The sequence below is a fragment of the Homo sapiens genome, chromosome 15 (assembly GCF_000001405.40).
Source record: "Homo sapiens chromosome 15, GRCh38.p14 Primary Assembly".
Taxonomy (NCBI): Eukaryota; Metazoa; Chordata; class Mammalia; order Primates; family Hominidae; genus Homo; species Homo sapiens.
The window spans coordinates 50461017-50487184 of record NC_000015.10 but is presented as its reverse complement, the minus strand read 5'-3'; the positions used below and the strand labels follow the sequence as shown (position 1 = coordinate 50487184).

General features: G+C 39.3%; 1 protein-coding gene and 2 pseudogenes across 3 annotated transcripts in view, besides 1 other annotated feature; all 3 read right to left on the bottom strand.

Moving 5' to 3' along the window:
* Window positions 1–26168, bottom strand: part of USP8 (ubiquitin specific peptidase 8) — a 90017-nt gene that overhangs the window by 27237 nt on the left and 36612 nt on the right. For 2 of the 3 annotated variants that reach the window (NM_001128610.3, NM_005154.5), the window contains exons 6-12: window positions 24863–24905; window positions 21994–22138; window positions 15390–15552; window positions 10192–10336; window positions 9686–9909; window positions 5120–5704; window positions 2824–2910 (exon numbers count right to left, since the gene is read on the bottom strand). In NM_001128610.3, coding sequence (NP_001122082.1) covers window positions 2824–2910; window positions 5120–5704; window positions 9686–9909; window positions 10192–10336; window positions 15390–15552; window positions 21994–22138; window positions 24863–24905 — 1392 coding nt within the window. The remainder of the gene's footprint in view (window positions 1–2823; window positions 2911–5119; window positions 5705–9685; window positions 9910–10191; window positions 10337–15389; window positions 15553–21993; window positions 22139–24862; window positions 24906–26168) is intronic. The other variant, NM_001283049.2, reaches the window with a different exon arrangement.
* Window positions 3006–3108: a silencer, noted in NCBI's record as "fragment chr15:50776274-50776376 (GRCh37/hg19 assembly coordinates)". NCBI's record gives its function as "represses an EF-1alpha promoter that drives an FKBP-Casp9 reporter gene in an ReSE screen in phorbol 12-myristate 13-acetate-treated (for megakaryocytic differentiation) K562 erythroleukemia cells {active_cell/tissue: K562(+PMA)}" and the evidence as "EXISTENCE:reporter gene assay evidence [ECO:0000049][PMID:32094911]".
* On the bottom strand, window positions 20050–20565 carry RPS20P34 (ribosomal protein S20 pseudogene 34; annotated as a pseudogene).
* RNA5SP395 (RNA, 5S ribosomal pseudogene 395) lies at window positions 23687–23804 on the bottom strand (annotated as a pseudogene).

Below are 26168 nucleotides of genomic sequence, written 5' to 3'. Positions count from 1 at the left end.
ATAGGTTATTGGGGTACAGGTGATATTTGGTTACATTAATAAGTTGTTTTTTTTTTTTCCCCAGATGGAGTCTTGCTCTGTTGCCCAGGCTGGAGTGCAGTAGCGTGATCTAGGCTCACTGCAACCTCTGCCTCCTGGGTTCAAGCGGTTCTCCTGCCTCAGCCTCCCAAGTAGCTGGGACTACAGGCACACGCCACCACACCCGGCTACTTTTTGTTGAGACAGAATTTCATCATGTTGGCCAGGCTGGTCTCGAACTCCTGAACTCAAATGATCCTCCCACTTCAGCCTCCCAAAGTGTTGGGATTACAGGTGTGAACCACCGCACCCGGCCATTAGTAAGTTCTTTAGTGGTGATTTGTGAGATTTTAGTGCACCCATCACCTGAGCAGTATACACTGCACCCTATTTGTAGTCTTTTATCTCTTGCCCCCAAGTCCCCAAAGTCCATTGTATCATTCTTACACAACATGGTTTTAATGGGTTATGTGTTATGTTTAGTTAATCTTAGATCTAAACAAATAAATTGTATAAATTATTTGACTTCTGTAGTTAATGAACTTTTTTTGTATAAATATCAATGGGTTTGTTGTTGCTGTGGCTCTTTAACTGTTGCAGTCAAAAATAAGAAAACTGTGAATTCAGTCAGTCATTCTAGCCTTAATATATTTTATGTCATTTTTTCCCCTTTTGTTTGAGACAGGGTCTCACCCTTGTTGCCCAGGCTGGAATGCAGTAGCATGATCATGGCTCACTGTATCCTTGACCTTCCCAGGATCAGGTGATCCTCCCACCTCAGCCTCTCAACTAGCTGGGACTACAGGCAGGCGCCACCAAACCCAGCTAATTTTTTAATATTTTTTTCTAGAGACAGGGTTTTGCCATGTTGCCCAGGCTGGTCTTGAACTCCTGGGGCTCAAGCGATCCACCTGCCTCAGCCTCCCAAAGTGCTGGAATTACAGGCAGGAGCAACCATACCCTTTTTTCCCCCTCTTTCTGTGGAGAAATGGGGTCTTGCTATGTTGCCAAGGCTGGTCTCAGATTTTTTTAATGGCAAAATACAGCAGAATGACCTAACAAAAATTTAACATGTTAAATTCACATAGATTTAGATTGGATATGGAGTCAGTCCTCTGTATTCATCGGTTCTGCATCTGTGAATTCAACCATCCACAGATTGAAAATACTTGAAAAAAATAACTCTGGGTGTACTGAACATGTGCAGGCTTTTATTATCCCCTAAACAATACAGGATAACATCTACTTTCATAGCATTTACATTGTGTTAGGTATGTAATCTAGAGATGATTTAAAGTATATAGGAGGATGTGTATAGGTTATATGCAAACACTATACCATTTTATATAAGGGACTTGAGCATCCTCAGATTTTGGTATGAGAGGGAGGTAGTGGAACCAGTCATCTACAGATACCAAGGGAAGACTGTATATATATCCCAGAGAAGGCAGATCTATGGAGACAGAGTAGACTCAGTGTTGCCTGGGCTTTAGGGTAGACTAAATTGGGCATGGGGTCATTTTGGTGTGACGGCAATGTTCTAAAATTGGATTGTATTAATGGTTTCACAACACTAAATTACTAAAAAAAAAAAAAAAAAAAAAAAAAAAAAAAAATCACTAAACTGCATGCTAAAAATGGGTGAATTTTATGGTATGCAAATTGTATCTCAAGCTCTGAAGGAAAAACAAAGGCAAAGAAGCCTTTTTTTTTTTTTGAAATGGAGTCTCACTCTGTTGCCCAGGCTGGAGTGCAGTGGCCCGATCTCGACTCACTGCAAGCTCCGCCTCCCTGGTTCATGCCATTCTCCTGCCTCAGCCTCCCGAGTAGCTGGAACTACAGGTGCCTGCCACCACGCCCGGCTAATTTTTTTTTTTGTATTTTTAGTAGAGACGGCGTTTCACCATGTTAGCCAGGATGATCTCGATCTCCTGACCTCGTGATCTGCCTGCCTGGGATTACAAGCGTGAGCCACCGCTCCCAGCAAAGATGTCTTATACAAAGCCTATGTATTTAAAAAATTGTGATGAAATACACATAACATAAAATTTACCATCTTAACCATTTTTAGGTGCACTGGTTAGTGATACTAAGTATATTGCTGTGCCAACAATCTCCAGAACTCTTTTCATCTTGTAAAACTGAAACTCTGTACCTACTGAACAATAACTCCCCATTTCCCCTTTCTCCAGCTCTGACAACCACCATTCTACTTTCTGTCTCTATACATTTGCCTACTTTACAAACCTCATAGAAATGGAATCATTCAGTATTTATCCTGAAACTGGCTTATTTCACTTAGCAAATGACCTCAAGATTCATCCATGTTGTAACGTGTCAGAATTTCTTTCCTTTTTAAGGCTGAATAATATTCCATTACATGTACATACCATATTTGTTTATGCATTCACCTGCTGATGGACATTTGGGTTGCTTCCATTTTTTGGCTATTATGAATAATACTCTAAGAACATGGGTGTACAAATACTTCTTGTTTGCAATTCTTTTGGGTATATACCCTGAAGTAGAATTGCTGGATCATATGGTAAGGCCTAAACATTTTTTACTTTCATAAAATAAATAGAATACGCTGTCACACTTTAAACAGGAAGACAAACTATTTCCTTTAGCATATAAATGGATTGATCATGCAAAAACAAGCAAAACACCAGCTACCAAAGATGGCAACGATCCCCTTACACTGTAGATCTCATGATAAAAGATAGCAGTGTGGTAAGATAATCACATAGTTATAATCCATGTTTGGCTTTTTTTTCCAGTTTTTTCCTGCAATAAACTACTTACTTTATTTCTTTCGGTATCGTCTGTATCCTCTCTAAAAGTTCCTGTCCTTAGAATTCCACTTTCTGGTTGTCCTTTAATCTTAAATGGCTGTAAAATTATTAAAATTACAGAAGTGAAAGAAAACTTTAATTCTCCTCCCAACATAAAGCTACTAGCTAACACAACCGAATCTATGAGAATGAAAATGTAAAAGGAGAAAAAAAAGGCCTCTGAAAATTTTATTATATTTTACTGTCACATTCAAAATACTTAAAAAACTAAAGAACTCTGATGAATCAGTGAAGAAAAAAAAAAGATGAAAATCAAAGTGGACTGTGAAGCACTGGTTCACACTACATGGCCAAGTATAAAATGCTGATCATTAATGTATATTCACCATGACCTAATTTGAACATTATTCTTTTATTTAAATACTATTACGATTTTGGTTATCTTGAAAGGAGTTGTGCTTCAAAAAATTTGAAGTATTCAAGAGAAAGAAGAAATTAAGATACAGACCAATAGTAAAAAATGCAAAAATCTATATTCATATCTTCTTATAACATCACAGATTCTTTTTTTTTTTTTGGAGACCGAGTCTCGCTCTGTCACCCAGGCTGGAGTGCAGTGGCACGATCTTGGCTCACTGCAACCTCTGCCTCATGGGTTCAAGTGATTCTCCTGCTTCAGCCTCCCAAGCAGCTGGGACTACAGGCGCCCGCCACCACACCTGGCTAATTTTTTATATTTTTAGTGGAGACAGGGTTTTACCGTGTTAGCCAGGATCATCTTGATCTCCTGACCAAGTGATCCGCTCGTCTAGGCCTCCCAAAGTGCTGGGATTATAGGCGTGGGCCAACGCGCCCGGCCCGTAGATTCTTTTTAAAAACTCATTTTTGTTTTATATCTTATTTTAAAATAACTCTACTAAAAACTTTTTAAAATTAGTGATAATTTTAACAAAATTTATTCTAGAATAAATTACATATTTCTCCTACTTTTAAAAGGAGCACACAAAGAATGCAATCTTAGATGTGTAGGAATATTTGGCACCTATATACTAAATGACTCCACAAATATGAATGATTTAAGTTCTAAAGACTGCATGCCTCTAGTATAGCAAGATGGAAAAGAAGTGGCTTTGGAATCTCACTGTCTATGTGATCCTAGGCAAATACTTAACCTCTAAACTTCAGTTTCACTTGTAAATTAAATACCTTATGGGGTTATCATTAGGGGTAAATAAGACAATGCAGTGAAAATACTTGGCATATAGTAGCTACTCAATGAATAATACTTAAATTGTATCTTGGAGTGCACATGTTTTGCTCCTCCTGTGAATAAAATTAGAGAGTTTTAGTACATGGGCTTCATATCCCCAATTTGGGGTGTTTAGAAGGTTTTTGGATGGAAGCTATCTTTTTTAATAGCAGAGGTTACCAGATAAGTGTTCCCTGGATAAGAGCAGCTTGACTATGAATTAATTTTGGTAACATGCCTGAATTGTGTTTGAGAAGTATAGAAATTGACATTCTGTAAAGATGGTATCCCGCCTTCCATTAGAAGTCATTTCCACACTACTAAAAATGTTTTTTCCATTTATACATATGTAAAAAGGACCATAACTGTTCTTGGTATTATAAACATATACTTGGTGTTCAAAAGGAAAAGGCATTGTTAATGACATAATGAAGAAAAAAAGAAAAGCATAGCATTATTAGAGATTGAAAAAGAATAACAAAAAAAGTCCCCTAAAATTACGGCTATCAATTTTGGGTGTGTAGCCAAGGGCAAAATTAATTGGGTTATTTGCCAATATTATTTAAATAGATAAAGCAAGAAACAAAATGACACCGATCTGACCAAAAAATCACTATATGCAAAGATAAATGTTAGGCCATTTAGATGTCACTGATTTTGGATATATTCTAAACAGATATAAATTCTATCATACAAATATTAGCATCTAGTTTCCCCATACTGAGAAGGAGATTATATTTCACTCTAGTCTTCCCATGATCATACATCAAACATAAAAATGAAGAATGTAGCTATTTATCTCAATTATTTGAAATATATTGCATTTTATAGATGTAATATACAAAAAGCAATTTCATTCCCAACCAATCATTTCATAAATGTATGGCACTGGCCTCAAAGGAGAATAGATGAGCAAATGTGGATAGATCAGTACATTCTATCACCCCTGAAAAGACTATTTGAAATGCCTGCCCTTTTATGGAATGCCACTGGTGTTTTCACATTTTCATATACATTTTCTTTCACTTCGTTGGCAATTTGTACTGTTTCTGCTTACCTTGCCTGAACCTGAATCCCCTGTCACAGATGTATGGGGCACATCTCCTGTTGACTTTTTCTGTATTTCTGGGGTTGGACACCTTTTCCCCCTATCTTCTACAGATTTCTTGGCATCAGAAGTTTCATGTTCACTTTTACTTTGTCTTTTTACTCCTGTTATTTCTTTGCCCCTCTTTGCTGAGGTTTCTTTATCTTCTTTCTTGGCCTGTTCACTTTCTTTCTTCTCCATTTCTTCTTTTGCTTTTTGTTGCTTCTCTGTAATTTCATTTTCTTCAGCTTCTTGTTTCTTTTTGGCTTTTTGTTCTTGTTCTTCCTTCCTCAGTTTCTCTTTCTGTTCCTCTTGCTGCCTTTCCCGAAGTTCTTTTTCTTGTTTGTTTTTTTCCATTAGAAGAGCAGTTTCTGCATGAATACGAGCCTTTTCTTCATCTGTTAACATGAGAGTTGGAGAAAAAACTACTGGCTTGGTGGAACGATCAGGAATAACTTTTCCACTCTGAGGAGATTGTTGCTCATGGTTTGTACTTTCAGATTTTATTCTATGCTCTTCAGGCAATTTGACTGCTGGTTTTTTAGTACGATCAATCTAGAGCAACAAAACCAGAGCAAAACATTTTTGTCAAAAATCAGGAAATAACCTCAGTTCTTGAGATCAAGTTGTGATAAAAGAAGTGTCACTTTGTGGAGACAACATCTATCAGCACATCTATTTGTTAATTACTCAGTGTCAAGATTTCTCATAAAACAGAACTTGAATGGTAGATATTCAAACATCACTGGAACTTACATCCTCTTGATTCAACACTTTCAATTCTTCCTGAGTGTTTTGTATACAAAAGAGTTAAAAATGTCTTTATTCTAAAACATAAAACCTAGACCTGGGCATACTTAGACTTAAGTTCCACTTCCAGGTATCCAAATGCCTACCCAATATTTCCATTTGAGTGTCAACACATGTATCTCAAACCCCATACAGCCAAAACGGATTCACGATTCCCCCCACCCCGACAAACATGGTCCTAATCTCATGGATGTAACCACTCTCACTCTCCCAATAGTTGCACAAATCAAAAACCTGAGTCCCATGATATGTTCTTCCCATATCCTTCTGCACGCTGTTAATTTTCCTCCTATATCTGTCCCTCCATCTCTTCTACCACAGGCTAAGACCATGTCAACCTCCTCTCTCACCAGGACTACAGCATAGCTTTCAACTAGTTGCCCATCTCTTCTCTTGCCCCCGCCCCCCAATCTGTTTCTCCACATTATAGCCAGAGGACTCATTTTAAAACAAATTTGATTTGCTACCCACTATGCTCTCAGTACACCTAAAATCTTTACCATAGTCTGTAATGCCCTGTATGGTCTTACATCTGCCTACCTCTCCAGTCATATGGCTGTGTATACCAGCTATACTTGCCTTAAAAAAAAAATTATTCCAAGATGCCATGCTCCTTCCCAACTTAGGTCTATCAGCTGTTCATCTAGATAATGCCCACATTAGGTCTTGGCTTACACATCTCTCCCTCTGAAAAGACTTCCCTGGTTCCTAGAACTAGCCAAGTCCCCTGATACATGCTCTTATAATACTTTATTCTTCTCTACCGGAATTCTGATCAAATAACTATAATTACTTATTTAAAATTTTTCTTCCCTCCTAGAATATAAGCTCTAAAAGGATAAAGACTGTGCCTGGCACAGTTAGTAACTATGTTACTGAGGGAACAAATGCAATCTTCCCTAAAAACTTTTACATGAGGTAAAATACTAACTAGTTTCCTTCAGGTTGTGTAATAAACTACCTAAGTTCCTGATTTAATGAGTTAAATGTTTATTACCTCAATTTAACAGCATGTTAACACTAGAGAAGTGACCCTAACATCATTTCTTGAGAATACTGTGTACTGAAAGAAAAATAAAAACTTATAAGAACATGTGCCAATAACAATCTACATAGTGTTCTTACAAAACGAATTTATGTTTTTCTACTAGAAAATAAAAGAAGTTGCCAGGCGCAGTGACTCACGCCTGTAATACCAGCACTTTGGGAGGCCGAGCCGGATAGATCACTTGAGGCCAGGAGTTCGAGACCAGCCTGGGCAACATGGCAAAACCCCATCTCTACAAAAAAAATACAAAAATTAGCTGGGCGTGGTGGCATGTGCCTATAATCCCAGCTACTCAGGAGGCTGAGGTGGGAGGATTGCTTGAACCCAGGAAGTCGAGGCTGCAGTGAGCTGTGATCACGCCACTGCACTCCAGCCTGGGTGAGAGAGTGAGACCGTTTTCAAAAAAAAAAGAAAAGAAAAAGAAAACGAGGTTAGTGTAGAAAAAATAATTTTTTTCCTGTTCACTTCTCTTTCTGCCTCTTAAAAAAAATCCTTTGTCTTTTTTTTTGCATGTATTTGAGAATAAAGTAGGAAGAACCACTATGGGGATGAGGTTAACAATAAGAGGTGGAACAGAAACAAAAATAAATGTTGTTTCCATTTACATTTTGGTGGCTTGATCTATTTTTCCCTAATTTTAAAAGTATAGTTATGATCATGTTACTCTCAAGTTTAAAATTCTTTAATGGTTCCTTGTGCCTACAGGACAAAATTCAAATTTGATCCAAGTCTCTCTTGATGACTCTTGTCCATCCTTCTAATCTTATCTACTATCATAACTTCCTCTCTCCAACAGAGACTAGCGCCCACATATGCCAAAACTGTTCACTGGCCCCAGAGCATGCCCTATGCCTTTGGTCATAGAATTTTCTACTTGTTTCTTCTATCCTCCAATCCTACTCTTAAAGCCCAGATAAAATACTGTCTCCTCCATGAAGACGTCCTTGATCTTCTCAGCTAGAATATTCTCCTTGCTCTGTGCTCCAGTGCCTTGTAGAGCAATTATGATATTCTGCCTTATGCTGTGGCTGATTTTATACAGATCTCTCCTTCCAAACATCAGAAGAACCCATCTCTTGTATATACAAACTTTCATGCTGTCTTATTTTTATTTTTATTTTTTTTTGAGACAGAGTCTCACTCTCACCCAGGCTGGAGTGCAGTGGCCTGATCTCGGCTCACTACAACTCTGCTTCCTGGGTTCATGTGATTCTCCTGCCTCAGCCTCCTGAGTAGCTGGGACTGCAGGCACGCACCACCACGCCTGGCTAATTTTGGTATTTTCAGTAGAGATGGGGTTTCACCATGTTGACCAGGCTGGTCTGGAACTCCTGACCTCAGGTGACCCACCTGCCTCCGCCTCCTAAAGTGTTGGGATTACAGGCACGAGCCATGGCACCCAGCCCTCATGCTGTTTTTTATATAGAAGATCTTCAAAATATGTCTGAAAATTGTACGTATCTCATAAAGTTATGTTGGGACACAAAAGGATTAGCGTTTAAATAGATTAAGTTGAAAGGAAATGCAATAACATAGAGAAGCTCTTTTTAGACTTTCCTAAATTCACCCTTTAAGAAAAGTTGTTTAATCACATCTATTTAGTCTGCAATTTATTCTGCAATACTAAAAGACCTTAAAAAAATGAAGAAATGAACCACTTCAGTTTATAACAAAAAATTACCAGATTTTCTATTCAATACCTGCTCCACAAATCAAACGTCATCCACTTTAAATGTGAAATACTGTTTTAAATATATCTGGGGAAAAAATTAAAAATGAATGCTAAAAAATGTTATTGGGAAATGCATGGAGGGGGAACATTAGTTAACCTTTCTTTAAATAAAGCCAAATGAAGGATATAAAAACTAAAATTTTTTTATTTGTAATGTCTTGGTTATTTAAAAACTTTTACATGATTATTGTTAAACATGCCTGTTATTTGCGTGTCAAATTCTAAGGAAATGAAACTAAAGCACTGTTTTAAAACCAAAATACTGACATCACATACCTATCATATGTAAGCCAAGCTATTTATGAAAATAATATGGGTCAAATTATAATACAAAAAATCCCAAAAGGGCTATTCTAATTCACTGTGATAATGCAATCTTTCATTGGCATTGTTTGTAGCAAATGGATCGCCAACTGGCTTGGAAACCCCTTAATTATCTACTCTAATATAGGCGTGGCGGTAATGCTGAATTATGATGAAAAATTTTTAAACAAAAAATTTATCAAAACATACAGACTGTTCTCATCGATACTTTTTTCTAAGATGTTAAAGGTTATATATTAAACTTCGTTTCTATACTATGTATTTAATTCTTTTTTTTTTTTTTGAGACAGAGTCTTGCTGTCACCCAGGCTGGGGTGCAGTGGTGCAATCTCGACTCACTGCAACCTCCGCTTCCTGGGTTCAGACAATTCTCATGCCTCAGCCTCCCAAACAGCTGGATTTATAGGCACCCACCACCATGCCCAGCTAATTTTTGTATTATTAGTAGAGAGGGGGGTTTCACCATGTTGGCCAGGTTGGTCTCAAACTCCTGACCTCAGGTGATCTGCCCCTCTCAGCCTCCCAAAGTGCTGGGATTACAGGCGTGAGGCACTGTGCCCAGCTATACTATATATTTAATATTAAAACAAAAGCGAGAATAATGTTAAAATCAAGAACATACCTGTGGAACATTCTTTATACTAGGCACTGGCTGAATTATGGGTGAAACATCAGATTTAGAAGCAGCAACTGGTTCAACTGGAGTTGATATATTCAGTGGTCCCATTCTCTCATTTTGACCACTTATCAATTCTATATTTTCATCTACTTCTATAGATGCAGGTGGCGTCTGGGCAGCAGGTTTAGAAGGAATTGATTCTTCCAATGAGGGATAAGTAAAATCCACTAAAATTCCAAAAATAAAAATGTTTTTTAGAATAGCAAACCCCATACACAGTACTTACATTTCTCATGCGTGTTAATGCAGTAATTAAATGTAAACTAAGTGAAAAAACAATTACAACAGTCTTAAAGAAAATGTGAACTTCCAGGCTTATATTTTTATGCCTGAAAACAAACTGCTCTCTAATAGGACAAATACACACACAACCAAGAATGTTACCGGGAAAACAATTTTAAACCATATTTTACCAAAGCAATTTTAAACAAAAATTTTCACATACATACATGAGATAGACACCTCTTCATTCTGGCGTCGTGGGGGTGGAGTGACCTTAGCATTTGTTGTATACTGGGGATAACAAAGGAGCCAGTTTTCATAGCCTCCCTCTAAAACCAAAGGCTCATTGCGCAGGACAGTTTTACTTTCCCACTATAAATAAGGAAATCATATTTTAAATAGGGCAGCAATCTTTCAACAGCTAAAAACACAACAAATCTAAATTTTAAAGTTGTTCCCTTAAGGACAAAATTTATCTTCTAAATAATGACAAAATGAGAACTGAATTCAAAATTCAACATTAAATGAAATGGTTATATAGGTGAGGTTTTAAAAACCATACAAATAATCAATGATCTTAGAAGAAAAATTAGAAAATAAATTACTAAATATAAAACAAAAATGACCCATAACCTCACCACCCCAATACCACTTTACATTCTGGAGTTTACTCTTATAGAGAGTTTTCAATAAAACCTTTATGATGTTGCTTTTCTATGAACATCTTTCATCACTATAGAGCTATATCATCATTTGCAATGCTAGGTAATATTCGACTACTGGTTGACTGATTGACAAGGTCTCACTCTATCACCCAAGTTGGAATGCAACGGCATAATCACGACTCACTGCAGCCTTGACCTCTTGGGCTCTATTGATCCTCCCACCTCAGCCTTCCCAGTAGCTGGGACTTACAAGCACGCGCCAACACGGCCAGCTAATTTTTGTACTTTTCGTGAGCTGGGGTTTCGCCATGTTGCCCAGGCTGGTCTCGAACTCCTGGGCTTAAGTGATCGACCTGGCTCAGCCCAAAGTGCTGGGATTTATAGGCGTGAGCCGCTGCACATGGCCTATTCTACTTTATACACAGACCCCAAAACTGAGTCAATCGTTTGAACATTTGGGTTTTTTCCCCATTTAATTATAAGCAATGCTGAAATAAACACAAAAGATCCTTATACATGCACATACCTAGTCACCTCCTTAAGGAAAACTCCCAGAAAGGGAGTTGCTTAAGCTAAGGTACACGAACATTTTAAGGTTTTCAATATATTGCTAATCTTAGAAATGATCACTTAAAAATATATATAAATATATTGGTCGGGCACGGTGGCTCATGCCTGTAATCCCAGCACTTTGGAAGGCCGAGGCGGGAGGATCACCTGAGGTCAGGAGTTCGAGACCAGCCTGACCAACATGGTGAAACCCCGTCTCTACTAAACATACAAAAATTAGCCAGGCGTGGTGGCAGGCGCCTATAATCCCAGCTACTTGGGAGGCTGAGGCAAGAGAATCGCTTGAACCCGAGAGGCGGAGGTTGCAGTGAGCCAAGATAGCGCCACTGCACTCCAGCCTGGGGGATAAGAGTGAGACTTCATCTCGAAAAATAAATAAGTAAATAAATATATATATATGTGTGTGTGTACATATATGTGTGTGTATATATACATGTATATATATGTATTTCTTTAGGATAATTACCTAGGAGTAGAATTGCTGGTTTAATATGATGCCCAGTTGCCCTTCAGAAAGGCTATACCAATTTATACACTTAACCAACAGGATATGAGAATGCCCATTATACATCTTTATAATTTTTACAAAACTGATGAACATAAAATGGTATCTTGTTTTAATAAGCATTTCTTTATTGGTGAAGTTGGACATTTTTTCATTTATTTACTATGGATTTATATTGTTCTATGACTTAACTATTTAATAATTGTATCCTTTGCCCCTTTTTCTATAGTTATTTGCAATTTTTTTAGTAAACAGTGAATGTACTCTGAATATTAGGGAAAACAGGTCTTTGTCATATATATTGCAAACATTTTTCCTGATTTTTACTTTATGTTTTTGTTTTTTAAACATAGTTAAATGTCTTTTCTTTTTGAGATGGACTTTTGTTCTTTTGCCCAGGCTGGAGTGAAGTGGTGCGATCTCGGCTCATTGCAACCTCTGCCCACTGGGTTCCAGCAATTCTCCTGCCTCAGCCTCCTCAGTACCTGGGATCACAGGCGCCCGCCATCATGCCCGGCAAATTTTTGTAATTTTAGTAGAGATGGGGTTTCGCCATGTTGGCCAGGCTGGTCTCCAACTTCTGACCTCAAGTGATCCACCTGCCTCAGCCTCCCAAAGTGCTGGGATCACAGGTGTGAGCCACCGCGGCCAGCCATAAACACAGTCTTCATTTTCCTTTATGACATCTTGATTTGACATCAAGGTACTAAAAAATACCAATGCTTTCTCCTAATAGTTCGCTGTTTCAATCTATACATTTATATCGTCTATTCATTTGAGATGTAGCTTGGTCTAAGAAATAAGGTAGGGATCCATTCTCTTTTATTTACTGGCTGGGCAGTTGTCCCCAAACCATTCATTTCAATCCATCTTTTCTTCATTGATTTATGTCACCTTTATCATACACTAATCATTCACATATCTTAGTTTGAACTTTATGAAACTGCCAAACTGCCATTTGTAGGTCAATGCCAGTTGAATACTGGCAGTTTCATATAATTGTCCCATACTTAGGTATATTTCTGGGTTCCCTATGTCATAGCATGAATTGTTCTAAGGCTTTTAAGACCGACTTTCTCAACGGCAATCAGCTGACCCTCCTACCAGCAGAATGAGTTTTCTTCTCACCACATGCTCACCAGCATTCAGTGCTATCATTGTTAATAATTTAACAAATTGACTGGGTGTGGTGGCTCACACCTGTAATACCAGCACTGTGGGAGGCTGAGGCAGGAGTTTGTTTGAGCCCAGGAGTTTTGAGACCAGCCTGGGCAACATAGTGAAATCTCATCTCTACAAAAATAAAATAAAATAAAATTAGCTAGGATGGTGACGCACGCCTCAGCTACTCAGGAGGCTGAGTTGGGAGGACTACCTGAGCACAGGATGTCAAGGCTGCAGTGAGCTGAGAAGGCACCACTGCACTTTGGCCTGGGCAACAGAGTAAGATATGTCTTCAAAAAACAGTAAGTAAAAAATTAGCTGTGCATGATGGTGGGCGCCTGTAATCCCAGCTACTTGGAAAGGACGAGGCAGGAGAATTGCTTGAACCTGGGAGGCAGAGGTTGCAGTGGGCCAAGATTGCACCACTGCACTCCAGCCTGGGTGACAGAGTGAGACTCCATCTCGAAATAAATAAAATTAAATTAAATTAAAAAAATATATATATATATATACTTAGATGCCCAACACAGTGGTGCACGCCTGTAATCCCAACACTTTGGGTGGCCAAGGTGGGAGGAATGCTTGAGGCCAGGAGTTTGAGACTAGCCTGGGCAACATAGCAATACCTTGTCTCTACTAGAAAATTTTAAAAAATTAGCCAGGCATGGTGCGTACCTGTAGTCCCAGCTACTCAGGAGGCTGAGGCAGTAGGATCACTTGAGCCAGGAGTTCAAGGCTGCAGTGAGCTATGATTGTGCCACTGCACTCAAGTCTAGGTGACTGAGAAAAACCTTGTCTCTTAAAAAAATAAAAATTAAAATTAAAACAAATAAATTTAAAAAATATATAGTTAGGCCTATGATGGTTATGTCTGTACTGAGCATGTACAGACTTTTTTCTTGTCACTATTCTCCAAACAATATGGTATAACAACTATTTACAAAGCACTTACTTTTTATTAGTTATTATAAGGAATCTACAGAAGATTTAAATTACATGAGAGAATATGTGTAGTTTATATGCAAATACTATACCATTTTATGTAAGAAACTTGAATATCCATGGATTTTGTTATTTGTGGGGGGTCCTAGCATCAATCCCCCACAAATACTGAGGACAACCGTATTATTTTTTAAACCTTTGTTAACTTGATCAGTGAAAATGGCACTCGTTTTAATATGCATTTATCTGATACTAGTAAAGTTGCCATTTTTATGGTTACGTCCACTTGCATTTCACTTTCTGTTCATGGCTATCTGTGCCCACGACTTATTTTACTATTTTATCTTAAGTATTTTTCTTATTTGTAGAAGCTCTTTGGATTTTAGGTATTTTAAACCACTGCCATATGTGTTGTAAATATTTCTGCCTGTCTTCTGCCTTGTAATCTTTTTTTGTGTGTGTGTAAGACACAGTTCTGCTCTTGCTGCCCAGGCTGGAGTGCAATGGTGTGATCTTGGCTGACCGCAACCTCCACCTCCCGGGTTCAATCGATTCTCCTACCTCAGCCTTCTGAGTAGCTGGGATTACAGGTGCACACCACCATGCCCGACTAATTTTTTGTTTTTAGCAGAGACGAGGTTTCTGCATGTTGGTCAAGCTGGTCTTGAACTCCTGACCTCAGGTGATCTGCCCGCCTCAGCTTCCCAAAGTGTTGGGATTACAGGCATGGGCCACCACGCCTGGCCCTGCCTTGCAATATTTTTTTTTTTTTTTTTTCCAGACAGAGTCTCGCTCTGTCTCCCAGGCTGGAGTGCAGTGGTGCGATCTCTGCTCACTGCAAACTCTGCCTCCCGGGTTCCTGCCATTCTCCTGCCTCAGCCTCCCGAGTAGCTGGGACTACAGGCCCCCGCCACTGCGCCCGGCTAATTTTTTTGTAATTTTTAGTAGAGATGGGGTTTCACTGTGTTAGCCAGGATGGTCTCGATCTCCTGACCTCGTGATCCACCCACCTCAGCCTCCCAAAGTGCTGGGGTTACAGGCTTGAGCCACCGCGCCTGGCCATCTTGTAATCTTATAAGATCTTTTTCCACCTAAGTTTTAATTTTACCACACCCAGCCAAAACAAATCTTTTAAACCTGAATTTATAAAAAATTCTACAATCAAAGCATGATGGGCTGGGCGCAGCTGCTCAAGCCTGTAATCCCAGCACTTTGGGATGCCAAGGCAGGTGGATCAACTGAGGTCAGGAGTTCGAGACCAGCCTGGCCAACATGGTGAAACCCCCTCTCTTCTAAAAATACAAAAATTAGCCTGGTGTGGTGGCTCACGCCTGCAGTCCCAGCTACTCAGGAGGCTGAGGCAGGAGAATCGCTTGAACCTGGGACGCGGAGGTTGCAGTGAGCTGAGATCACGCCACTGTACTCTAGCTTGGGCAACAGAGTGAGACTCAGTCTCAAAAAAAAAAAAAAAAGGCATGATGAATCTTTTAGTATTTAAGATAAACAACTAGTTAACATGCCTTTCTAACAACCAGAGATGCCCTGCAATTACAATAAACTAACAATGAAACTTGCAAACCTTGAAAAGTGCATCTTTCAGACTCCGGAGAGTTGTTCCAATCTGTAAATCTTTGGCAGAACTAAACCAGTCAAGAAGTACCACATACTCCACATTCCCCCTCTTCTTCCATGTGTCTTTAGAATCATCTGGCAGGTGTGCTTCAATCCAACTAGCAGTGACTCTGAAATGTATTAATATTTAAATTGGGGCAAAAGTCAACAAGAGGTCCTAATATACTAACAGAAGACACTCAGTTTTGTTCCACAGTCTTTACCACACCATAGCAAATTTTAAGTAGATTCCTTTCTAAGGTGAGGTTATATATTAAGATATTAAACAGCCTAACATGTTTAACCCCTTCACTACTGTATAATATTGGAACATAGTTTTAGTAGTTATTAGAGACTATAAAAGAAGACTGAATTCTTTTCATTCTGACCTTTTAAAAAAAGTCAAGGGGGGAGCAAAACTGAAAACAGAGAAAATTATCTGAGCTCCTCTTTCAGCCAAATATAAACTGGGGAATCACCTGGGTAGTATTATTCATATTTCAGTTCTCTTATACCTATATAATTAATAGTCCACCATATACCAGGATGTTTATTCAACAAACACATATAGCATTTACCATGTGCCAGATACTGTTCTAAATGCTTTATTCTCATTGAACTCATTGAGTCTTCACAACAATCCTGTAAGACGAACATTATTATTTCTATTTTGGGGAAACTGAGGCACGAACAGATTAAGTGACTCGCTCAAGGTAAGTGGAGCCAGAATTAAAATTCAGGCAATCTGGCTCATGTACATGTTCTTTGCTATGCTGCCTCTTAAAACCGTCAACTGTGAATAACACCAACTCTCCATTAAAGCACAATGTTCACATCATCGTTTGCTCACATAAAAACTAAAGTCCGGCTGGGCATGGTGGCTCATGCCTGTAATCCCAGCACTTTGGGAGGCTGAGGCGGGTGGATCACCTGAGGTCAGGAGTTCAAGACCAGCCTGGCCAACATGGTAAAACCCCATCTCTACTAAATACAAAAATTAGCCGGGCATGGTGGCAGGCGCCTGTAATCCCAGCTACTGAGGAGGCTGAGGCAGAATTGCTTGAACCTGGGAGGCGGAGGCTGCAGTGAGCCAAGATCATGCCACTGCACTCCAGCCTGGGCGACAAAGCAAGACTCTGTCTCAAAAAAAAAAAAAAAAAAGCTAAAGTCCTCACAATGGCCTGCCACAGACATACACCCTCAAGCCTCAATGTCCTCATCTCTAACTACTGGCCCCCTTCACTCGCTCCAGCCACTGGCTTGTTATTCCTGGTTCATCCAGGCATGCTCTTCCCTAAGGGCCTCTGCTCTGGCTTTTTCCCTGTCTGGAATCTGCTTCCCTCAGATAGCTGCATCACTCATTTCCCTTATTTCTTCAAGATTTGCTAATAACTTCTCTGTGAGGCCTTTCTAAACACACACACATGCACACGCACACATGATATTCCCATTTCCAAGGCACTCAACATAAGACAAACTAAACATTTCAAGCTTTTATTGTACGTCTTACCTATCTCACCTCTCTGTTAAAAGCTCCAAAGACAATTTTTTGTTTGTTCAATGGCTTAGCCCAGCACTTAGAACACAGTAACCCAGCCCACAGAAAGTGTTCAGTGAATATTGGTTTAATCAGCTGGACGCGGTGGCTCACACCTGTAATCCCAGCCCTTTGGGAGGCCAAGGCTGGCTGATCCCTTGAGGTCAGGAGTTCGAGACCAGCCTGGCCAACATGGCGAAACCCTGTCTCTAATTAAAAATACAAAAATTAGCTGGAAGTGGTGGTGCATGACTGGAGTCTCAGCTACTCAGGAGGCTGAGGCAGGAGAATAGCTTGAACCTGGGAGGTGGGGGTTGCAGTGAGCCGAGATCACGCCACTGCACTCCAGCCTGGGTGAAGAGCGAGACTCTGTCTCAAAAAAAAAAAAAAAAAAATTGGATTTAATAATTGAATGAGTGAATAATACAGATTTACACCTCTGGGTAAGGAGCTCCATATTATTCTTAGCAAAGCACTTAGTATATCGTGGCATTTCAATATTTAACTGATGATACTGGCAAGCTGGGCCGGACTGGTACAACTTTTATCCACAAGTAAAACCAAATAAGATCATTTTAATTTTGAAATCCAGTTCCTATATAATAATGTTGGTTACTGTATCTTCCAGGAAGTAAAGAAGTAGAAGAAATATAAAATATTGTCTACTAATATCCTCTCCTGATGTACACAGATCAGAAGGATGCTTGGTCAACAAAGAAGGAAAAAAAATAAAATGTGATATTCTTAAAGACTATTTCCAACCCTAGGGGTATATTTACCTAAATACTGTTTTCAGGATTAGTATTCTACAGAAAACACTTTGGGAAACAACAGTATCAGCCAACATTTCTCAAACTTCTGTCTTTTATGTACCATCTTCACAATCTGCTCCAACTCTGCTCTACTTGTCTTTTATTAAATTTAATTAATTTAATTAAAAATAATTTTTTACTTAAATAAATTTAATAGGAAATTGTATAGCCCTAAATACATGAAAAAACGAAATCATATCCAGTAAGTAAAAGGTATGTCTGAAGATAAATAAAATATTTAAGTAAATTGCGCTATATTCACACAACAGAACATCATATGGCAATGAGAATGAACAAACTACAACTACACACAATAACAAAGATGACTGTCACAAACACAGGTTGGGTATAGAAGACAGATATAAAAGACTACATATTATAAATTCCATTTATATAAAGTACAAAAGCAGACAAAAAGAATATATTCTGTCAGAAACTGGTGGTTTCCTTGGGCAGTGGGATACGGGTAGTAACTTACAGGGGGTATATCGGGTTCAGGGGGGATGATAACATTGTTTCTTGGTCTGGATGCCAATTAAGTGGGTGCATTCAGTTAATGAAAATTCATTGGGCTAGACACTTAAGACAGGAGTACTTCGGTATATATACTATAATGTATTAAAAGTTAAGAATATGGGAGCTAAACGGTAAGAACTTATGAACACAAAGAAGGAAACAACAGACACTGGGGTCTACTTGAGGGGGGAGTGTAAGAGGAGGGAGAGGAGCAGAAAAGATAACTATTGGGTACTGAGCTTAATACCTCGGTGATAAAATATGTATGTACAACAAACCCCCGTGAAAACGTTTACCTATGTAACAAACCTTCACATGTACCACCAAACCTAAAATAAAAGTTTAAAAAAGAAATAGGCTGGGCACCGTGGCTCACACCTGTAATCCCAGCACTTTGGGAAGCCGATGCCGGTGGATCACTTGAGGCCAGGAGTTCAAGACCAGCCTGGCCAACATAGTGAAACCCTGTGTCTACTAAAAATACAAAAATTAGCCGGGTGTGGTGGCGCACACCTATAATCCCAGCCACTTGGGAGGCTGAGACATGAGACATGAGGATCAATTGAACCCAGAAGGCAGAGGTTGCAGTGAGCCAAGATTGTACAACTGCACTCCAGCCTGAGCAACACAGCAAGACCCTGTCTCAAAAAAAAAAAAAAAAAAGGCCAGGTACAGTGGCTCACACCTGTAATCCCAGCACTTTGGGAGGCCAAGGCAGGTGGATCATTTGAGGTCAGGAGTTCGAGACCAGCCTGGCCAACATGGTGAAACCCAGTGTCTAGTAAAAATTAAAAAATTAGCTGGGCAAGGTGACACGTGCCTGTAATCCCAGCTACTCAGGGGGCTGAGGCAGAAGAAATCTCTTGAACCCGGGAGGTGGAGGCTGCAGTTGGCCGAGATCACACCATTGCACTCCAGCCTGGGCGACAGAGCAAGACTCTGTCTCAAAAATAAATAAATAAAAATAAATAAATTAAATTAAAATTTAAAAAATTAAAATAAATACAATAAAATAAAAAGCTTAAAATTTTAAGAACAGATAGGCCGGGTGCAATGGCTCACATCTATAATCCCAGCACTCTGGGAGGCTACGGTGGGAGGACTGTTTGAGCCCAGGAGTTTGAGAGCTGTCTGGGCAATGTGGCAAAACCCCGTCTCTACAAAAAAATACAAAAATCAGCTGGGCATGGTGGCATGTGCCTGTATTCCCAGCTACCCAGGAGGCTGAGGTGAGAGGATCATCTAAACCCAGGAGGTCAAGGCTGCGGTGAGCTGTAATCATGCCACTGCACTCCAACCCAGGCACAGAGTGAGACCCTGTCTCAAAAATAAATAAATAAAAATAGATAATGAAAAAATACAGTAATCACTATCAGCTAGTTGTAGGTACTGTAACCTACAGAAAGCTCTGAGACCTGTTCCCTTCAGTTAAGAGAGATAAGCAAGTATTTAAAAGATATACTAGCACCAAACTGAAACTCCTTTAAACTAACTCAAAAGGACTGTAACATAAATTAAAAGAGAATAATTTTCTCAGTATGCATTTCATTGTTCTTTAATCTTCAACCTAAAATCATCTTGAGTTTCATAGTAGTCCAAATCTCACATTTTGGGAAACTTCCATGTAAACTCAGTAATAACGACCACCAGCTCTCTATTAATACAGACTAGACTACCCAAAGACTAATTATAACTTCGTCTGTTCAAATCCTGGGAATATATTCACATGTTTAATTAGACTGAGTACTCTAATATATATATTTTTAACAACCAGTAATCAATTTATTAAAATAGTTGACTTAAGCATCTCCAATGGTGACTTCCACCTCAACTCCTGGCTCAGTACTGATGGAAGTAATCTGCTTAACAATCTCAGAAAGGATGTGCAAGTCAATGAGTTGTTTGTGGATTCTCATATGGAAATGATCCCATGTCTTAGAACCGTCACCAAAAGGAGTTTTTCTTGTAGCGATTCTCAAAGTCTTAGTAGGCATTTGAACTGGTCCTTTCACTTTGAGATTCTTTTTCTTTGCTCCTCTGATCAAGTCAGCACACACCTTCTCCAGGGATTTTATGCTGTGGCTCATAGAGAGTGATTCGAATTCAGTGAATTGCTATCTCCGGCTCCATGGGTGTTTTTCCAGCATCTTTAAAAGCCACGGCTGCTGTGCGGCTTCCTGACCGACCGGTTCCTCTGCGAGAGCAACAGCAGTACAGCAGGAGCAGGAGCGGGCTGACCACAGCTCAGCACTACCTTCAACAGCGTCTTCCTCAAAGAGCTCTAATTTTTTTTTTTTTTTTTTTGAGACAGAGTCTCCCTCTGTAGCCCAGGCTGGAGTGCAGTGCCGTGATCTCGGCTCACTGCAACCTCCGCCTCCCGGGTTCATGCCACTCTCCTGCCTCAGCCTCCCGAGTAGCTGGGATTATAGGCATACGCCACCTCACCTGGCTGAAGTATTTTTAGTAAAGATGGGGTTTCACCATGTTGGCCAGGCTGGTCTGGAACTCCTGACCTCAAGTGATCCGCCTGCCTTGGCTTCCCCAAGTGCTGGGATTACAGGTGTGAGCCAGTGTGCCCGGCCTAAGAGCTCTAATTTTTAAATAGCTTATTTACAAAGCACTCTACGCTTCAGGTCAAACATTTATCAAGCATCTGCAATATGCCAAGAACTATACAGATTTTATTACCTAATTTTAAAAATATATAATTTTAAACCAAGACCAAGAGAGGTAATAGGATCTGCATAAGAATGCTCGAAATAGTGAAAATAGCCCTTTATCTGGAGGTTTAGCTCTGCCACTATGCCATGATTTCCAATATACAATATACCCATGCAAGTCACTTTAAATTATTTCATAGGTTAAAGGCCTTCTTACCAAAAAAGAAAGAAAAAAATTTAAATTAAGTCCTTACTCGTGCCAGGACCTGTGCTAAAGTGTGTATGTGTATATAATGTTTCTCATTTAAATCTCCTGAAACCTCTGTAAGATATGTTCTACTATTATCCCCATTTTACAGATGGAAACCTGAGCTTAGAAATGTTAGGTCACTACCTAGTAATAATGCAACTAGTAAGTGACAGTTATTTGAATAGAGTCTGGCATCAGAGACTATACTCTTTTAACTTAAGCACACACAAAGTATTTGTGTAGCGTGTATCACAGTAAATATAGGGAATTTCAGTATGTAAAACAATTCAATTAGTTCATTATTTTAATCAATTTGGTACATACGATTCACATGCTTATAAACAGAAAATAATAGGAAAAATCAGTTAACAAACATCTGGGGAGAGAGGGAAAAGGCAACTTCATTTCTCTTTTGATAAGATTCTAAATACCACCAATAGGAGAAAACAGCCAAATCAAAAGTTGGCAAATCCGTAACTTCAACCTTCAAAAAGGGTGGAGTGTGTCTTTAAGAAGCAAAGATTTAGGGAAATCCCACTTGGGCACCCCTCACTCTCAAAAGTGAGAGAGCAGTTCTTCTTTCTCTTTCTTTTGCCTATTAAACCTCTGCTCCTAAAATGTACCTCCCCCTCCCCTCCCCCACCACCCACACACATAAAAAGAGGCAAAGATTTAAAAAGTTACCAGGAAAAGACTACTTTATCACATTTAGCTTGGATGCTAAGTAGTAACATTTACTAAGGTCCACAGTTTACTACTTACTACACAGTTTACTACTTTACTACACAATAACCCACCCTGGACTGATGGCTTCTTCAGGAACACTGAGAGAATGTAAAATACAGGAATCCTGATAATCCTGCATTCTTCGAGCATCCATTATAATCAAGCTGATGTTTTTATCCGTCATCATTGTGTATAGTTCCTTTGCTGTGATTGCTCCTTGGAATTGAGAGAGACAGTGTAAGTGACAAGAAACAGCACAAGATGTGCTGACATCACAAAACACAGGACAAACCGCTTTTTCTAGAAGAGCAAAGTATACTGAATATATATGGATGCCACATATTTACTACTCCATCATACCATTTATTATCTTGTAAACTAACATTAAATACAACTTGTTTTTTTTCTTGAGACAGGGTCTCGTTCTGTAACCCAGGCTGGAGTGCAGTGGCATGATCTCAGCTCACTGCAACCTCCACCTCCCAGGTTCAAGTGATTCTCCTGCCTCAGCCTCCTGAGTAGCTGGGAACACAGGCTGTTACCACGCCTGGCTAATTTTTGTATTTTTAGTAGAGATGGGGTTTCACCATGTTGACTAGGCTGGTCTGGAACTCCTGACCTCAAGCGATCTGCCCACCTTGGCGTCCCAAAGTGTTGGGATTACAGGCGTGAGCCACCACATACCTGACCTTGTGTTTTTAACATTTATCAAGAAACCAGTTCGATGCTCTGTTTACAAAGACTTAAAAATCAAAACTTTCTGTTGAGTTTACAGCTACACCTGGTATTGACTCTGTTACCAACATAAAATAAAGAACATTAATATATGTGTCTCAGGAAAATAGTATGTTTTCAAAAATTAAGACATTAGAAAAATGCTAACTGGAAGAAAGAAATATCTATGGTTCTAAAATTCTGGAAAAGTTCTAAATTCAAAAGGTCTCTGATGGCAGTCTTACGGTAGCTTTTTGAAAAACTTAGATATCCAAGTATTCTTAGAATAACAAGTCAAAAGCTTGCTATTCTACATCAGAGGTTGAAAAACTATGGCCATCTGTTTTTACTGGATCACTGCCACACTAGTTTGTTTACACATTTTTTCATACTGCAACAGCAGAGATCAATAGTTGTGTCAGAGACCACAGGACTCTCCAAGCCCATAAGGTTCCCCAAGCCTAAAATGTTTACCATCTATCCCTTTAAGAAAAATTTGCCAATTGTCATTCTACTTGATGTTCATTTGTTAGCTCCCAGCCAGAAGGAAAAAAGATTATTTTGTTTTCTAAGAAGGCTAACAAAAAGGAAACTAAGTAAAGCTAATGCAATATTTAATTTATTTACTTTTGGGGGAGGGCAGCAATCTGTCAAAATAAATATTCCCTATGTTACTATTTTTCCTTAGCTCTACTGAAGTGAAAGATTAAAAGGCACTACAAGAGAGTTGAGATTATATAATAAGCTGTTTCAGCAGTGAGCTGTGAGAAGAAAAGTAGTCTCAGTAGCTCCTATGCTAAAAGACCTATAGCTGCTAACAATCGTCCTCCTTCCATCTCTAGCCATCAAGTGTATGCTAACAAAACAGACTAAAAAAGTTGTTAACAAACCACTGAGAAGGACAACATTTAAGCAGGATGACATACAAAGGAACAAATGCATAAAAACTAATCTTGGAATGAATCAGTAACAGCTTTTAGGGAAGTACCTTATAGCACACTCAGTTTACTTTTGTAATTGTTGTATGGCAATATTTTAAGTAGAGAATTTATTTTACTGTTACCTATAATTATGTTTAAGTTCAACCTTTTCTCTGATCCAAGTACTAACCAGGCCTGACCCTGCTTCGCTCCCGAGATCGGGCGCGTTAGGTGGTATGGCTGTAGACAAGGTAAACCTTTTCTGAGAGAGGAAAACGTCTCTAGCAGATGAAGAGGAATTCCAAAGTCTTGTTTAGGTCACATATTTGTCACTAGAGCATCAACGCCACCTATGGATAATTTCCATATTACTGGTTTGGATTTGAGACAGGGTCTCACTGTCATAGGCTGCAGTACAGTGGTGTGATCGTGGCTCACTGCAGCCTCAACCTCCCGGGCTCGAACAATTCTCCCACCTCAACCTCCTGAGCAGATGGGACTAAGGGCATCCACCACCACACCCAGCTAATTTTTGTATTTTTTGTAGAGACAGGGGTTTCACCATGTTACCTAGGCTGGTCTTGAACTCCTGGGCTCAAGCAATCCTCCTTCCTGAGCCTCCCAAAGTGCTGGGATTACAGGAATGAGCCACTGCGCCTGGCCTCGATTTTTTTTTTATGGGGGATGTAAATGACTGTTAAATAATTTAGTCTTTGACCACAGGATGGATGGGGGGAGAAAAAATTAAATCTACAACCTAGTCATAAATGATAATAAGTCCTACTTAAAGTTTACCATGTATTCTAAGAATTTACATATATTAGCTCATTCAACCCTGACAACAACCCTATGAAATAAGTACTATTATTATCTCCACTTTACAGACAAGGAAACAAAGGTAGAATGTTTAAGCAACATTCTGAAAACCAGGCGGAAAGGGAGAGGAGGAACCAGTATTCAAACTCCGGCAGTTTGACTTCTGAGAGTCCATGCTCTTAACCATTATTGCTAAACTGCATGTTGAAAAGAAAACAAGTACAAGCTTTGGTTTTGACATTTTTCAACTGCATATGACCAGTTTAACATGTAAGGTTAAAATTATTCATAAAATATCCCCCCATGATAAATACATAAAAATAACCTCAGACATTTTCAATATAATTGTACAGACTAGGAAAAATGATAAAGCTTACATAGAGATTAGACAACAATGCTAAGAATCTCATTGTATAAAACCTGATGCTTATTCTGATTAAAAGATCTCAGTCAGAACCTAAAACAACTTCCTCCTTCTGTACACACTTACCTTTCTCTTTGGTCTCACATTTTTCATTCTTTTCACCATTGCTCTATTGCATAGGAAAAAAAAAAAGTTTCAACTTTCATAGACACAAAAAATTCAACTTTAATACTTCATTTACTTCTCTTAAATGGAAACTCTAAGAAACGAACTGTGCAGAGTACTGGCCTTTTATAAAAACGCAGACGAATAATAATGATATTAAAAGGTTTCTTTGGCAGTAGACAACAGCTAAAATAACTAGCAATCTTTCAGAATCATAGAACATTTCCTCAAAATTTACTTCAATTAAAGACCAAATATAATTTAACAGCACAAACTGCTACAGAAATTTAATATTTAATTTGATTAGAAAGTACTTCTTACAATCAAACAAAAATTCTGGCTATCCCATTCAGTGTCCTCCACCACATAATTAAAGCAAAATGAACTAATACAAAGTATTGCTTATGTAGTTTACATTTTTTTTTTTTTTTTGAGACGGAGTCTTGCTCCGTGGCCAGGCTGGATTGCAATGGTGCCATCTTGGCACACTGCAACCTCTGCCTCTCAGGTTCAAGCAATTCTCCTGCCTCAGCCTCCTGAGTAGCTGGGATTACAGGCGTGTGCTACCACGCCCAGCTAATTTTTGTATTTTTAGTAGAGATGGGGTTTTGCTATGTTGGCCAGGCTGGTCTTGATCTCTTGACCTTGTGATATGCCTGCCTCAGCCTCCCAAAGTGCTGGGATTATAGGCATGAGCCGCTGTGCCCGGCCTATGTAGTTTACATTTTTTAACCAAGACAACATGGGATAATCCTGTATGGTACTAACTCATTTTATCCATGGGGAAACAAAGGACCCACTTAGACCTTTTTTTTTTTTTTTTTTTTGGAGATAGGGTCTCACTCTAATGCTCAAGCTGGAGTGCAGTTGCATGATCACTGCAGCCTGGACCTCCTGGGCTCAAGTGATCCTCCCACCTTGGCCTCCTGAGTAGCTGGGACTACAGGTGTGCACTATCATGACTGGCTAATTTTTTAAAAAATGTTTGTAGAGGCCAGGCACGGTGGCTGACGCCTGTAATCCCAGCACTGTGGGAGGCCAAAGTGGGCGGGTCACCTGAGGTTGGGAGTTCAAGACCAGCCTGACCAACATGGAGAAACCTTGTCTCTACTAAAAATATAAAATTAGCCGGGCGTGGTGGTGCATTCCTATAATTCCAGTTACTTGGAAGGCTGAGGGAGGAGAATTGCTTCAACCTGGGAGGTGGAGGTTGCAGTGAGCTGAGATCGCGCCACTGCACTCCAGCCTGGGCAACAAAAGCGAAACT